We start from the raw sequence: 14,642 nt of genomic DNA on the forward strand, positions 1-14,642 counted from the left end.
CATACTCCGAGTTCCCAGCCACTTTCAGGCTTCTCTCCAAGCCTGTGGCCTCCATTTCTAGACCCCACCCCGGGACCTGCACACCAGCCTCGCTACCTTAGCCCCCTCCTCCAGGAGCCTGCCCTGTGTGGAGTAGGCACATGGTTTTCCTCTCCAGCACCCATTGCCTCCTTACTCAAGCAATGGCCCTGTTTCCTCTGGGGAATCCATCTCAATTCATGAGCATCAGATCAGACTGCCCCCAGAGCTCCTCAGTCTAAGCCAATCAGTGTGTCATAGTCCCCAGCCTCAGTGATGGATTCTGGGACAGACACGAGGACCAAGCCAGGTGGGATGAGTGAGTGTGGCTTCTGGAGGAAGTGGGGACAAAGGAGAGCATTCTTTCCTGCCAGACCTAACCCTGGGTCATGAGTCCAGCCCCACTGGTTGTCACCTCGCCACCACGAGAGCAAGGCCTGTCTGGGAATGTAGCCAGCCCAAAAGAAGCAAGCTGACATGGAAGGAAAGCAAACCAGGCCTGGATGACGTCGTGTAAGCCCTGGAACTCCGAAGCCTGCTCTACTGATTAGTTACTTTTTGCTCAACCTGGTCTGGAGAGTTCCGACTGACAGGGTGCCACCAATTTTTAGTGATTTCTCTCCCCTCTAGACCCCTGGAAGCCTGTGCGATTCATGCTATGCAATGAAGAATCAGCCTCGCCCTGTGCTCTCCCATTCCGGCCTCTAAGCTCCTAAGGACACCGTGTTGGCCACATCTTTGGTGTCTCTCAGGGTCCAGCACAATGGGGAGCACACGGTGGGAGATGGATGTGGTGACCTGGAACTCAGGTGTGAGGGAGCTGGGACACAGGCCCAGGATTCCTGAGAGACATCCTCCCCTCCCTGGGCCATGCGAGCCACTTGGAGAACCTGCACCCACTCTCAACGAACTCAGCACTCCCTTCCCCAGGATATGCCTTCCTGCCTTCTCCTCATCCCATCCCTGGGCAGGGGACATGCAACTGTCTACAGGTGCCTAGTACCAGGATGGGAAAGGAAAGCCACCAAAATCTAAGGCTGCCCTCAGAGAAGGGCAAGCATGCAGTCCTCATCTTGATGAGGAAACAGTTTCTGAGGGAATAGTTTTCCCCTCCATTCCAAGCGTTGGACATGAGGCGGCCATAATCAGGGGCTGATGGCTCTTAAAGACTTCCGTCCTCTTGCCGAGGCATCCCTTGGGCACATTTAGCATAACAATAAGCACAAAGGAGCGTCCAACACTTTCTGTAACTGTTGGTAGCAAGTTGATGAATGGCCACCATTCAATGGGCAGTCAACGAGTAGAGATTATCAACAGGCAAGAGCTAGCATTTCCTGAAGGCTTCCTAGGTGCCAGGCACTGTTCCATTCCTTTGCATGTTTTAATTTATGTAATCTTTGCAACAGTTCTATCAGGAAGATGCCATGATTACCACAGTTTCACAGATGAGGACATTGAGGCTTAGAGGGATTGAGTAAGTTGCCAAGGGAACAGAGCAAGCAAACAGGGAAGCCAGATTTGAGCCAAGGCATCAGCTCCAAGGCAACCTCTCAGCCAGTTCAGTGCAAAGCCTCTTGTTTACAGGGACTTTCTAGACAGGCTTGAAGCAGGCCAGTGAGTCAGTGGGCAGGGGAGAGGCAGAATAGTTAAGAGGATCTGGAGGCAATGACTATGCTTCATCCCCCATTTTTTAGTTTGGGAGGGCTTCCAGGAAGAGGTGGGCTTCCAGTTCATGACAGAAGAGGAGGCTGCACAGTGAAGGAGCAGGGACTCCAGGTCTGGTGACAATCAGGTGTGGGCCAGGGTGAGGGTGGCTTGCATCAGGAGAGGGATCTGAGTCAGGCAGTCACATACTTCGTGCTGGGGTCCCTCAAGAGGCACAGCCTGAGGTCCCGGGAAGAAGACCAAGCCTCATTTCAGGTTGCTTGCGGCCAAAGACAGGACCTGTGTACCCAACAACCCCTGGGACCTTTGCAGGAAACAGCAAACACTATTCACTCACTCGAGTTAGATAAACACTGAGTGAAAAGTCACTGGAGCCAAAGGACTGTGCGGGGTCAGCGCTGCCGATACAAGAACTGCAGCCCTCCAGCTCGGCTTCCTCAACGGCCTCTCTGCGCTGCAGCCACACTGGCCTCCTTTCAGGTCCTCCACCTCAGGGCTGTAGGTCATGTGCTTCCTTCTTTCTGGAATGTTCTCCCTGACCTACCCACTCACCCTCAGGTTTTACCACAAATGCTATTTCCTCACATCCACCTTCCCTGACCCAGCCAGGCCCCCCATGATGAGCCTCGCAGAACCTCATCTCCCCTCCACAGAGGTGATCATAACCCACAGAACCCAGGGCCACGATCCCTGGCTTTGAACCCTGGCTCTGCCACTCAGCTAAGTCTCTGTCTTTCTGTGCCTCGGTTTCCTCATCTATAAAATGGAGATAACAGCAGTGCCTGCTCATAAAATGTGGTGAGGGTTAAATGAGTTAAGGCACTCAGATCAATGGTGGAGCATGGTTAATGCTATATGCATATTAGTGAATATTATAAATAGGCTTTATCACAACTGTAACTAAACAACTGCTCATGCATTGGTTATTTAGGTCTGTCTCTCCTGCCAGAATATGCACTCCAGTTGGACAGGGACGCTGCCTTATTCATCACTGGATCTATAGAGATTTGCTCAGTGCCTCGCTCACAGTCACTGTTGGGTAAATATTTTCTGGCTGCAGGAAAGAGTGAAGGACTAGCCCCCTCGCCGTGGGAGGAAGAGCGTGAGTTGGGAGAGCAGAGCCACCACAGGAAACCAGGGGGCAAAGTGGGGTGGAAGGCAGTGAGCTCTCAGGCTCTCAGGAGCAAAAGCTTCCAAGCTGGGCTCTCACCTTGGCCCCTCCCACCCAGGGAAGACAGCTGGGTCTTCCAGGACCAGGAATCCCCAAAGGGGCTGCTCCCAGAGGGTGTATTGCTGGGACTGGAGAGAGGACTGCCCAGAACCACCCCCTCTGATCAGGTGGGGGTGGGTGGCAGCTCCCACCTACTGAAGATGTCTCTGGAGACCTTCTGCAGGCACTGCCAGGCATCTGCCACCTGCCGGACGGTCTCCTCTCACTGCAGGTCTGGTGGGATGACGGGCAAGGCATAGGTCTGACCTGCCAGGGAATGCTGGGTCCTCGCAGGAGTCGTGGTGCCTGTGGGTAGCATCAGAGCCACCCACGCCCACCGGCACCCACTCACCACAGGTAGCATGGTGTTGAGACAGCACAGCCCTCATCCCAACTGTGTGCACAGCTTCGGGGAGGTGGGGAGGGGGATGGGAGACAAAGCATTTGGTGGGAGGCCAGGAGCTCATAGGAGATGGGATTCTGCTGATGCCTGCTGAGTGAATGAGGGAGGGAGGGGGCAGGACAAGGGACTGGGGATTTGGTAGGGACAATGGAGGAGCTCGGAGAAGAGGCAACATTTCTTCAATCCTTATAAGGTGCTGGGTACCTGCCAGGAACCCTGTCCATACACGATCTCAGTTCAGCTCCTCACCTTGGGTACACAAGAAAGGATCCCTGGCTGAAGAGGGAAATAGAGGCTGGAAACAGGGGTACATGGGCAGGGTGGTGGTGGTGAGAGAATTGCCCGAATCAGCTGCCAAATGGTGCCCAGGTTGGAAACGCAAATGTGCACACATGGGTTCTTCCCACTCTAACCCTGAGGAATTCGAGGCCTGCTTCTGACACAGACTGGGCAGTGGCTAGTGACTCTAGGTATAGAGTGTCCAGACCCTGCTCACCCAGGCTAGAGCTTAGGGAGCCAGAAGGAAGGAGGTGCATGTGGGGGTGCGGGACAGGAGGGAAAAACACTCCTTAAATTGCAAAGTGAGGGCAGAATCTATTTACATTGGGTTGAATTAACTCCTCCCCTTGATGCCACTAAAGCAGGAATCACACTGCAGATGGCACTGATTTGATTGGCAAGAGACATGCCAGGAAGAATATTAAGGGACCAGGCCCCTATAATTAGGCCTAATCGTAGCCTGTTGTTTGAAAAGGGTATGAAGGACATTCATCAGGCTTGGCACTGTGCCCTAGACCTGCTCTCCTGGGTAGTGGGGCCCTCCATTGCAACAGAGGTGTGGGTGGGCCTGGGAGAGTGTGGCAAGAAATGCTTAGGAGGCTCTACTTGGCCTTAAAGGGCTGTGTGACCTTGGGTAAATTGCCTTCTTTGAATCTCTGGTCCTTTCCATTTCCCATTCTCCAGGCTAAGAGCTGCACTCTGATACACGGTTATTCCCAATAATAATAACCATCCACCCCGTGCAGTGGTCATAAACCAGAGAGAGAAATGTCCACATGAAACTAGGTGCTGCATGCTGGCCATCACTCATGGATCATTAATGAAAACTAACTTGGAATCACTATTTTAAGGACAGGATGGTGGGGAGGCATGCTTGTAAACAGAGCCCTTGGCGACTCAATTCATCTGCAACTCATTTTTCATATATGTTAAATGTATCCCTTCAAGATCATTGCAAAGAAAAACTAAGTTAACATAAGAAACAGTGCCTGGTGGCTAGTGAACATTCTACAGGTGTTGGATGCTGTTGTCATCATTGTTATCATTATCAGAATGGACAAGACAGAACCCCACAGTCATTCATTTCAGCTCTCTTTTTGGTGAAGAAATGTGTTGAGCATTTAGCTGGAAACCTGGCACTTAGGCACAAGGTTGGTGTAGAAGGCACCTGCAGACCTGACCCAGGCGCAAGGCTAGGCACCCTTGTCCAGTTCTCTGCTGACTTACAGGCAGTTCTCCCTCACTGCTCCTCACCTCCAGAATAAGGAGACTCCTTCAGCTTTGAAGATGTGGGAAGAGCAGGGGTGAGGGCAAGGAAGAGGATGTCTGAGCATTGAAAAGGCCAAGAAAAGAGGCTGGAGCCCTGAAGGCAATCAGCACCTGTTCCCAAGAATGCAAGGCTGGGCCTTCTCCCCTCTCAGACACATCCATCATCTGTCAAGATCAGCCACTCAGAGCCCTCAACCTTGCCCCCTCCTCCTTCAGACCCCATGGTACACTCACACCAAGGAGGGTGTCACAGTGCAGGGATTTCATCCCCAGGGCAGCTCATTGCTGGGAAGGCCACAGCACCCAGCTCCCTCTGCTGCCAGATTCCAGGCCCTGTGGACAGCATGTGTCACACAGCAGGTGCACACTTACTGTCATCTCCCTTCCTTAGTCCTGGAGGTGGTCTCTGCTGTGGCTCTGCATGCCACCAATGCTCTCTGACCATCTCTAACGGCAGCCTTTGATCTCAAAAATGCCCCAGCCTCTAAGTAACCCATGGCAGTATGAAGCCAACAATGAGGAATTTCTTCCGAGCTCTCTCCTGGAGATGGGGTGGCGGGAGGGCATGCCTGCGACTGAGATAACTCCCAAAGCACAGCAGGGAAGGAAGAGGAGAACAATGAGGAAGAAAGGGAGCTGAGAAGGGAGGGGAAGCAGACAGGAGATGAGGCGGTGCATGGAAGAGAGCCTGGTGCCACCCCCATAGGCTACCCTATCACCTCAGTCCCTCCCAGCATCCAAGGCCCTTCCTCAGGGCTGCTGTGCCTATCACGGCCACTAACCTGGCTGCTCCCTGAGCCTGGCAGCCAACAATCACACAGAAGAAGTCCAAGAGCCCAGCTCTGCACACCTTCAGCACTCCTGTCACAGCAGCGGGAAAGGGTTCTGGTGTCATGGACCTGGTGCCTTGAGCCAACCTGGGATGGGCAATGTCTGTGGCCACTAAGAAGCTGACCTCAGCATGGTCCGGCTGGGACTAGAATGGGAGCAGAGACGGGGCTTCTCGAGTCTATCTGTGCGGTGGGAAGGTCTTCCTGTGTGTGTGGCTGCAGGTGGATCTAGGAAAGGGGGATAAAGGCCCTGCCTTCAGGGCACCCCAACTCTACTGGGGAGACTCACTCTGACACATGAAGCACACCAGACATCCAAGAGGCACATGAAATGGTGAGACATGACGGGTGAATACAAAAAGCCAGGAACTCCATTCTGGAAAAACAGGACTGATGGCATTGGATCAAGTCTGCAAAATCACAAAGGACAATAAAGAGAACTGACACAGACCTGAAACAGAACCCCAGGCATCCCTTGAAGCTCAAAAGAATGATCTAAGGACAAATAAACGGCAGTTGAGTTTTACACAACGGGCAAAGGCAAGGAGTTCCTTACCGTGGGGATGACACAGGATAAAACATGGCTGAGACCAGGAGAACTCAGATAAACTCGTGGGAGAACCACAATGTGCTGTGGAGGGGAGCAGGCATGCGGGTACACTCCTGACCTCCACAGACGGCCCCTACCACCAGGCCTGATGGAGCTGCCTACCTAGCATGGGTAGGCCTCATTCCTTCAGAGAAATGGAAGAAATTTTAATTTCTTTAAAATAAAATCCTTTAATTTTAAGAGACTTAAAATGAAAACCTTTAAGCCAGCCCTGCCCTTGTGTGTGCTGAGTTCCAGAACCAGGCACTGCCAGTGAGCAGCAGAGGGAATGCACCTGCCTAGGCTGGAGGGGAGCAGGGCCTGGGGGTGTGGGTGGTGTTTGCTATTCTTCCCAGGATCACTGAGCACCTAGGTGAGCTGAGCTACCGGAGTCCTTGGAAAGACCCAGTGCCCTTCTTCTTAGGGTCAAGAAGGAAGGCACAAAGAGGGAGAGAGGCTCAGCAGAAGAGGCCCCTAAGCTCCCAAGGCAGGCTGCTGGATGCTGAGAGATGAGGCCACCAGGTCAACTGCCCTAGGAGGGGAAGGGGAGGGGAGAGCCCTGGCAAGGAAGCCCCCAAGGCTACTGACTCCACAGGAATCATCTCCTGAGCCTGGCTGGGGTGGTGTGAGCCTAGTGAACCACACGCGCTCCTTTCTCTGCTACTCCAGCAGGAACTGGCCGCTGTGAACCCTCTTCCCACATTAGCCGGCTCTCACACTGTGACTAAAGAGACCAGCCACCACATGGTCCCGGTTACAGGGGCAGCTGGGGCCTTGCCATCTGGCAGGACCTGCTGCCACTGGCGCTCGCTGTCTGTGAGCACAGGGTCTGGTGGGCAGGAGGTGACTGGAGGGCATGTCTTCCCAAAGGAGAGCTCGCCAGGCCACTCCTCAGAGGCCCCAGCCCACACCACCAGCTGCCTCTGCTCCTCCCAACTGTGCACCTCGTGCCATCGAGGGAGGGCTGGGACCCAGCTCCAGGGCTGCGGCTGGCAGAGAAGGACCTGGCCTCCTGCCCACTGGGACAGAGAGGTAGCGGGTGGGAATTCTACCTTCCTCACCTCCCGAGATGTCCACAGGCTTTGGGGAAATGGTTGAGGGGCTTTGGAAGTTCAGGGAAAGAAAAGGAGGCCCAGGAAGAGGATGAGGCCAGCCTGGACTTGTTCATCCACAGGGACCAGGGTCCATGTGGCTGACAGTCTCTTGGGGAGGGGACGGGACTCTGGGTCAAGAAGCCTAAGTCATAGACATAGTCATCTCCCTGCCTCTGCGCAGACTGCTGGGGTCAAAAACAGCATCACGTAAGCACCCTCCACCTTGGAGTGCACTGTTTGGGGCAAGGTGCCCCCAGACAGGCCCTGTTGCTAACACTTACACCCAGCAGTTCCGATGGACAAGCTGTAAGGACAGCCTCGCCCCAGGTGCCAGGCACCAGAGAACTTACAACTGACAGCCAAGGCCAGCTGGTAAGCCCTTGGTTCCCAGCGAGAGAGCCTGTGAGCACAGTGGAGCCTCAGGACAGCACGATCAGAGCTGGCTTCTCAAAGGCGGTGCCCTTGAGCTCAGTCACCTCTCGCCCCTTTGCCGCCCATTGCTGGCACCTGGCTTGGGCTCTCCGTCTGCCCAACAGCTCACTTCAGAGGAAACAGGAAACCAACGGGGCCTTCGCTGCCCTCCTCAGCCAAACCCATGCAAGGCCAGCCCATGGAAAGGGAGCCAGGGAGGGTGAGAGTGGAGGGGCAGAGGCCTGGCTGCTTCTCCTGCTGTGATCTGGGCACACACTAAGCTGCTTAGCCAACAGCTCTATCTCCTGGGCTCAGGGCTCAGCCATGTGAGGAGGAAGGGATCAGTACAGCCCTGAGGAAGAGTGAGGACCTCAAGTCAGCCAGAGCTGGTGCCCCACAAACTGCTGTGGAACGCGAGCAACTTACTTAACTACTCTGAGCCCCCTTATGTGCAAAATAGGAACAACAAACAGGAGCTCCCACCTCCTGGGGTTGTATCGGAAATTCAGTGAGGTGGTAAAGCACCCCGCTCCACGCCTGGCCTATGAGAGATGCTCCACAAACGGTGGCTGTGATGGCAGTGGGGTCACCACCACATGATGGCTGAGCCCAGCAGACAATAAGACATGGAAATCAACCACTGCGCAGCCACTCGCAACAAGGAAGAAGGTGGAAAAGCTCATGAGAAACAAACATCCTTATGACAGGCTTGCAGGGACGCCTCTGTATTCAGTTATTTTTTTCTGCTTTGGTTTTTGTGTTTGTTTGTTTGTTTGTTTGATTTCCTGAGATGGAGTTTTGCTCTTGTTGTCCAGGCTGGAGTGCAGTGGCACAATCTCGGCTCACCACAACCTCCGCCTCCCAGGTTCAAGCGATTATCCTGCCTCAGCCTCCCAAGTAGCTGGGATTACAGGATGCCCGGCTAATTTTGTATTTTTAGTAGATATGGGGTTTCTCCATGTTGGTCAGGCTGGTCTCGAACTCCCAACCTCAGGTTATCCACCCGCCTCAGCCTCCCAAAGTGCTGGGATTACAGGTGTGAGCCACCATGCCCGGCCTCTGCTTTGGTTTTTAAGACTCAACAATGATAGCCTCCTTCATTCCCCCAAATATACCACCCACACCCCAGCTTTCTCAGGCTGATTCAGAGGCTGTGCTACGAGGCCTCTGGGGACCCAGTTCTCCACAGAACTCCTGGCTGAATACCCTGCCTCAGAGTCCCTCTAGGACAGGCCCACACTTCACTTCTGCGCAATTGGGAATGTGCGTGAGGTACGGGTGCGGCCGCCATAGAAGGAAAGGCCCCGGGCCTGGGTCAAGCCCAGCGACTACTGGAGCCCCTTGTTCGTCTGTTACATCCTCTGCTGGCAGGCAAAGGGGAAAGAAAACTCCTGGCCATCGGGGCACCCAGATTCTACTCTGGGCTCTTTCCAGAACTGGCCATGGGAGCTTGGGCAGGCTGTGTCGCATGTCTAGGCTGTTGCTCCTTATCTGCAGAATGGGAGCCGTGCTCACTGGTGGATGGAGGAGGGGACAGGGGACAGACTGGGTGGCATCCCAGGGCTCCAGGCATTGGACAGAAGGCATGTCCAGGGCCTGGGCCATGCCCAAAACAACCTAGAGCAGGGCAAGTGGCAGAGCCCCTCCCAGGCTGCTGGCAAGGGCCCCCTGGCCCTAAAGCAGCCCATCCTCATCCCACCCCGGCTAGTGACTTTGAAAGAGCAGCTTCTAGATGCTCAGCCAACTACACACAAAGGCTTCTCCCTACTGGGAACAAAGTAAGAATAACGCCACCCTCACGGGACCAAGGAAGCTCTGAGAGGGGATCCATGAAGCCAGCCTCGGGAACCAGAGGAGGCAGGGGGGCGGCGAGAGGGCTGGGCAGCAGAATGTTGGCTCGCCTGATTAGCTGACCCCACCCAGAAGAAGACGGAGGATTCTAGTTCTTTAAGGGAACTGGCAGACTTCTTCTCTAGGAGCCCTCTACCTCCTGGGCCCCAACTCTGAAGCAGCTGCCTGGCAGAGACAGTGAGGAGGGTGCAGGGAGAGGACTTTGCCCTCCACTGCTCTCCAGCCAGGACACGGCCCCGGCTGGCAGCCTTTCATTCTATACTGAGCCAAGAGACACACACCAGAGCCCCAGGCTGGCCATGCCCCACCGCCTCTCCAGCCCCACTGGGCACACTGGTAAGTCTGGGGCCTCTGCCCACAGTCAGGGCCTATCGTGGCCTGGAGCCCACACCTACCACACTGACTACAGCAGGACTGAGGGCACTCATGGTATCTCATGGAAAACAAACTGAGGCCCAGGAGGAAAATGTTTGTTTAAAATTTTGCACGCCATTTCTCCAGGGCCACTAAGCCAGGTCCACTTACTTTGATTACTCTTTAGTGCTCTCCTTCCAGCCATATGAGGAAAACATATATGTTTTCAAAACTTAGGAAAATACTGTATTCTATTTTTCCTCACTTGAAATTACATGGACACACCTGCAACTGTATGTGTTTTTTAAAACTCCAAGAACTGTACACCAAAAAGAGCAAACTTAAAGCTGGGAGTTGTGGCTCACGCCTATAATCCCAGCACTTTGGGAGGCTGAGGTGGGTGAGTCGCTTAAGCCCAGGAGTCTGAGACAAGTCTGGACAACATGGCGAAACCTGTCTCTACAAAAACCACAAAAATTAGCTAGGCATGTTGGTGCGCACCTGTAATCCCAGCTACTGGGGAGGCTGAGGCTTGAGTCCAGGAGATTAAAGCTACAGTGAGCTGAGATGGTGCCACTACACCTCCAGCCCGGGCAACAGAGCCAGACCCTGTCTCAAAAAATAAATTAATAAATAAATAAAAAGAGAAAACTTTAAGGCATGTATGTTGGTAATACAATACATAATTATACATATATACATAGTATGTAAACTTCACAGTGCATTGAGAACATTTTCCCTGTGTCATTTAATAGTTTCCCAAACCCACTCATCCATGCACATACCATACTTTATTTAAAATGTTCCCCTAATGGGCCAGGTGCAATGGCTCATGCCTGTAATCCCAGCACTTTGGGAGGCCAAGGTGGGTGGATCACATGGTCAGGAGTTCAAGACTAGCCTGGCCAACATGGTGAAACCCCATGCCTACTAAAAATACAAAAATTAGCTGGGCATGCTGGCATGCACATGTAATCCTAGCTACTCAAGAGGCTGAGGCAGGAGAATTGCTTGAACCTGGGAGGCAGAGGTTGCAGTGAGCTGAGATCACACAATTGCATGTTAACCTGGCAACATAGTGAGACTCTGTCCCAAAAAATAAAAAGTAAATAAATAAAATGTTCCCATAATGTAAGAAATTTAAATTGTTTTTGATTTTCCTTTATTATAAATTGCTCTTTAATGAGCACTCTAACACATAAGATATTTGATAGCTTTTCTTATTATTTTCTTAATATGGAGTTTTAGAAGTGCAGTTACTGGTCCAAAGATATGCCTTTAGTGCCCTTAGCCTTAGTTCTTAAGGCTTGTAGTACCCTTTGCAAAGAGGCTTTTCTCAAAGGTTTTGACACGCTATACTCCACCAGTGCTGGAGTAGAGGGCTGCATCATGTTAGCAGTTATCAGCTTAAAAATCTGTGCACATTTGGAAGGCAAGATGGCATGCACCTGTAGTCCCAGCTACTAGGGAGGCTGAGGCAGAAGAATCACTTGAGGCCAGAAATTTGAGCCTGCAGTAGCTATGATTGCACCACTGCACTCCAGCCTGAGCAACAAGGTGAGATCCTATCTCTATAAAAAAAAGAATAATAATAAAGAAAAAAGAAAGGCAAAAAGTAGTATACTATTGTTGCCATAATTTGGATTTCTTTGATTACTAGTGATGTTCTGCATTCCTTCTCATGTTTATTGATTGCTAATATTTCATGTACAAACCTAGTTACAGCAACAACCAGCAAGCCACAACTCTCAAACATCCTTGCCATCTTAGTGCCATTGCTGTAATATATAAAACACACATTAAACCACAGCAGTTAATATTGTGCTCGTGGTTAATACCACAGTGCAGTAGAGACAGGCTGGCATAGCGTGAGAAGCAGAGGTTCCAAGCCAGACAGCCCTGGGTTTAAATGTCTCCTCCCTCATGGACCAGCCATGTGACCTTGGCAAAGTAACTTAACCGCTCTTACCTTGGGTGTCATCTGCTGTGGAGCTATAAAATGAAACAGTCATCACTTCCTTCCAGGGCCCCATGAGAATCAGGTGAGGATGACACAGGGGAGGCAGGTACACACGGCCACACACCCGAGGGGACTCAGCAGGGGGCAGTAATGACCACAGGGGACACTACTAAAGGGCTGAGTATGCAGAGCTCCCATCCCGGAGAGAAGGGGGGAAGAGGATGATGCCAGTGATACTGGGCTGTATTGTTAGGTCACTAAAGTCCAGTGTGGCATCCAAAAGTGTGCCTGTCAGACCGAGTCTTCCCGTCGAGTACGCTTTACAGAGGGCCTCATCCTCTGAGGGCTGACCGTGGGAAGGCAGGGAACTGGACCCAAAGATCCTGGCTTTTCCTCCCCAGGAGACCAGGGATAAGCTCAGCATCCCCATACACTGAAGGCAGCAGGAAGCTGGCTGTCTAACACCTCTCTTGCTTTGTAAGAGGGTCCTTCCTAATGCAGAGCTGGGGAAAGGAGAGACGCTGGGAGGGGCTAGCATGCCGCACCAGGGAAAGGCTGGTGCTCTCAGCGGTGGCTGGCTCTGCCTGCAGCTACGTGACTGAGAGAAGAAAGTCATTCAGAGAAATCCCAAGACACAGAGAGCAGCATCGTGGCTTAGATCCCTCTTGCCTCCCTCCTCCGAGGGCTGGCAGTGGGGAGTGTATATACCTCCGAAAATGAGAGCTGGCTAATAGCAGGAAGCCCAGGGCCTCTGCACCTACTTACCTCCCACCAGAAGAAAGCACCATTCCTCAGCACCACCCCCATCAACTCAGGCCCAGGAACAGGTGAATCCACCCAGCCAGACACAAGCAGGCGGGGAAAGATGCAGGGAGATACCCCACCTGCGTATCTCCTTAAATCTGCTTTAAAATCTTCCAGGAGGCTGGCAGATCACTGGAGCTCAGGAGTTCCAGACCAGTCCGGCCAACATGGTGAAACCCATCTCTACTAAAAATACAAAACTTAGTCAGATGCGGTGTCACGCCCGTAATCCCAGCTACTCGGGAGGCTGAGACACAAGAATCAAACCCAGGAGGTGGAAGTTGCAGTGAGCTGAGATCGCACTACTGCACTCCAAACTGGGAAACAGAATGAGACCTCAGCTCAAATAAATAAAATGCTCCAGGAGGGAAAAAAAAAAGGAGTGAGAGTAGATGGAATAAAGTCACAGTAGAATGTGGCATCAGGTGAGGGTGACATAGGGGTTCACTACATTATTCACCATATTTTTGTGCATGTTTAAATATTCCCACAATATATAAAAGCTAAGAGGAAAAAGGCGAGTAATAGAAACAGGGGGACTACATAAGGTCATGATGCCTGTCCCTCTTTGTCAAACTTCTCTGTACCTCTTATCTTGGAGATGCCCTCCCTGTTCCTGCCCTACAGCCAGCATTCTTTTGCCTTTATTCCATTTCACAATTTCCACATCCCTGGCTGTTTTCCTCACCCCCACTCAGCTCCTTGCTTATCGCCTTCTTCTTCACCCTCCTTGTCACGACCCTGTCAGAAGCTCTGATAACCCTCCAAGAAGACCAAGTCCAAGAGAGCAGACCAGGAACCAGGACTCCTGGGTTTCAGCCCCAGCAACGCCACTGTCTGCACCTATGCAACTAACCCCTACCCAGTTCACATCACATGAAAGCCCAGCAGAGCCCCCAAAGAGATGTTCAGAAGTCACTGCTGCTGCTACTTCTACAAGGCAAACAAAGGAGAGCCCCCATCCCTCAGAACCTGTTTGCTGGGATCCACCTCAGGCAGCAGAACAGGGACATGGACCAGGCTGCCTGGCAGGGCACCACGGAGGGCTGGGGAAATGGGAATATAGATGCCATGATGATCATATTAATGAGGGTAAAAATTAGGACCAACAGGGGACGTCCCCTCTGCACATGTGTACAAGTGTGTGCCTTTCACAGACAATAGAGGCTGAAGTCAGGGAGGCAGCATGCACAGGCAGGCCTGGCTCAGACAGGGGCCACGTCCCAGTCAGACAGTCTCCTGCCACGCGTTCCCAGCAAGGATGTGAAAACAGCCCTGCCACTCGCTTTCCACCCACACCCCTCCATGCCTTGCCTTTCTCCCTCTTTTTCATGAGGGAGGAGAGTGTGCTCGCCCTCTTCTCTCCCAGGATGACAGTCAGGCCTGGAAAACAGAAGGCAGGACCAAGGGACAAATCAGGGTGCCCTCAGGTCTAATGCCAGCCATGTCCTGCCATACTGGGTGCCTGCGGAACCCACATACCCCTCTCCAGGCTGAGAAGATGGCCACCTGACCTCCTTTGGGAGGTCATTCCTTTGGGGTGGTCATGTTTTGGGGGAAACCAGAGAGAACCTGAAGTGAGGAAACAGCTTGGGGATGAAGGTGCTGTACAGACACCGGGCCAGTCCCGCCGGCTACTCATGTTTACTATGCACAGCCAGCACACCCATGGGCGAAAGACCTTCGGTGCCCCCTGCTCCTAAGAGCTAAGCACTAAATAGTGCATCCGCTGCTGCTCCCTGCTAACTCTCCCAATGGACCCTCACGCTGCCCCACTAGGGACTGGGATTTGAAGAGGTAACCTTTAACTCCATTGTTGAGTGAGGAAATAAGGGCAAGGGATTTTACCCTAAAATAGGGAATATAGACTAGTTGGCCTTGGGATCTAAAGCCAGGAGTCCCGAC

The 14,642-nt window shown here is 52.6% G+C and overlaps 1 pseudogene, besides 3 other annotated features; it reads right to left on the reverse strand.

Annotated features, from left to right (window-relative positions):
* Positions 1,001 to 1,745: an enhancer, noted in NCBI's record as "OCT4-NANOG-H3K27ac-H3K4me1 hESC enhancer chr12:31373729-31374473 (GRCh37/hg19 assembly coordinates)". NCBI's record gives its function as "activates a minimal SCP1, AML or CMV promoter by ChIP-STARR-seq in naive H9 embryonic stem cells {active_cell/tissue: H9 hESC(naive)}" and the evidence as "EXISTENCE:reporter gene assay evidence [ECO:0000049][PMID:30033119]".
* LOC107987168 (uncharacterized) lies at positions 2,607 to 3,282 on the reverse strand (annotated as a pseudogene).
* Positions 8,721 to 9,278: a silencer, noted in NCBI's record as "fragment chr12:31381449-31382006 (GRCh37/hg19 assembly coordinates)". NCBI's record gives its function as "represses an EF-1alpha promoter that drives an FKBP-Casp9 reporter gene in an ReSE screen in phorbol 12-myristate 13-acetate-treated (for megakaryocytic differentiation) K562 erythroleukemia cells {active_cell/tissue: K562(+PMA)}" and the evidence as "EXISTENCE:reporter gene assay evidence [ECO:0000049][PMID:32094911]".
* Positions 14,158 to 14,327: an enhancer, noted in NCBI's record as "experimental_28233 CRE fragment used in MPRA reporter constructs". NCBI's record gives its function as "activates a minimal promoter by MPRAs in K562 erythroleukemia cells, with activity observed for both the introgressed and non-introgressed 12:31386971 variant alleles {active_cell/tissue: K562}" and the evidence as "EXISTENCE:reporter gene assay evidence [ECO:0000049][PMID:34662402]".

This window comes from Homo sapiens, chromosome 12, assembly GCF_000001405.40.
Source record: "Homo sapiens chromosome 12, GRCh38.p14 Primary Assembly".
Classification (NCBI taxonomy): domain Eukaryota; kingdom Metazoa; phylum Chordata; class Mammalia; order Primates; family Hominidae; genus Homo; species Homo sapiens.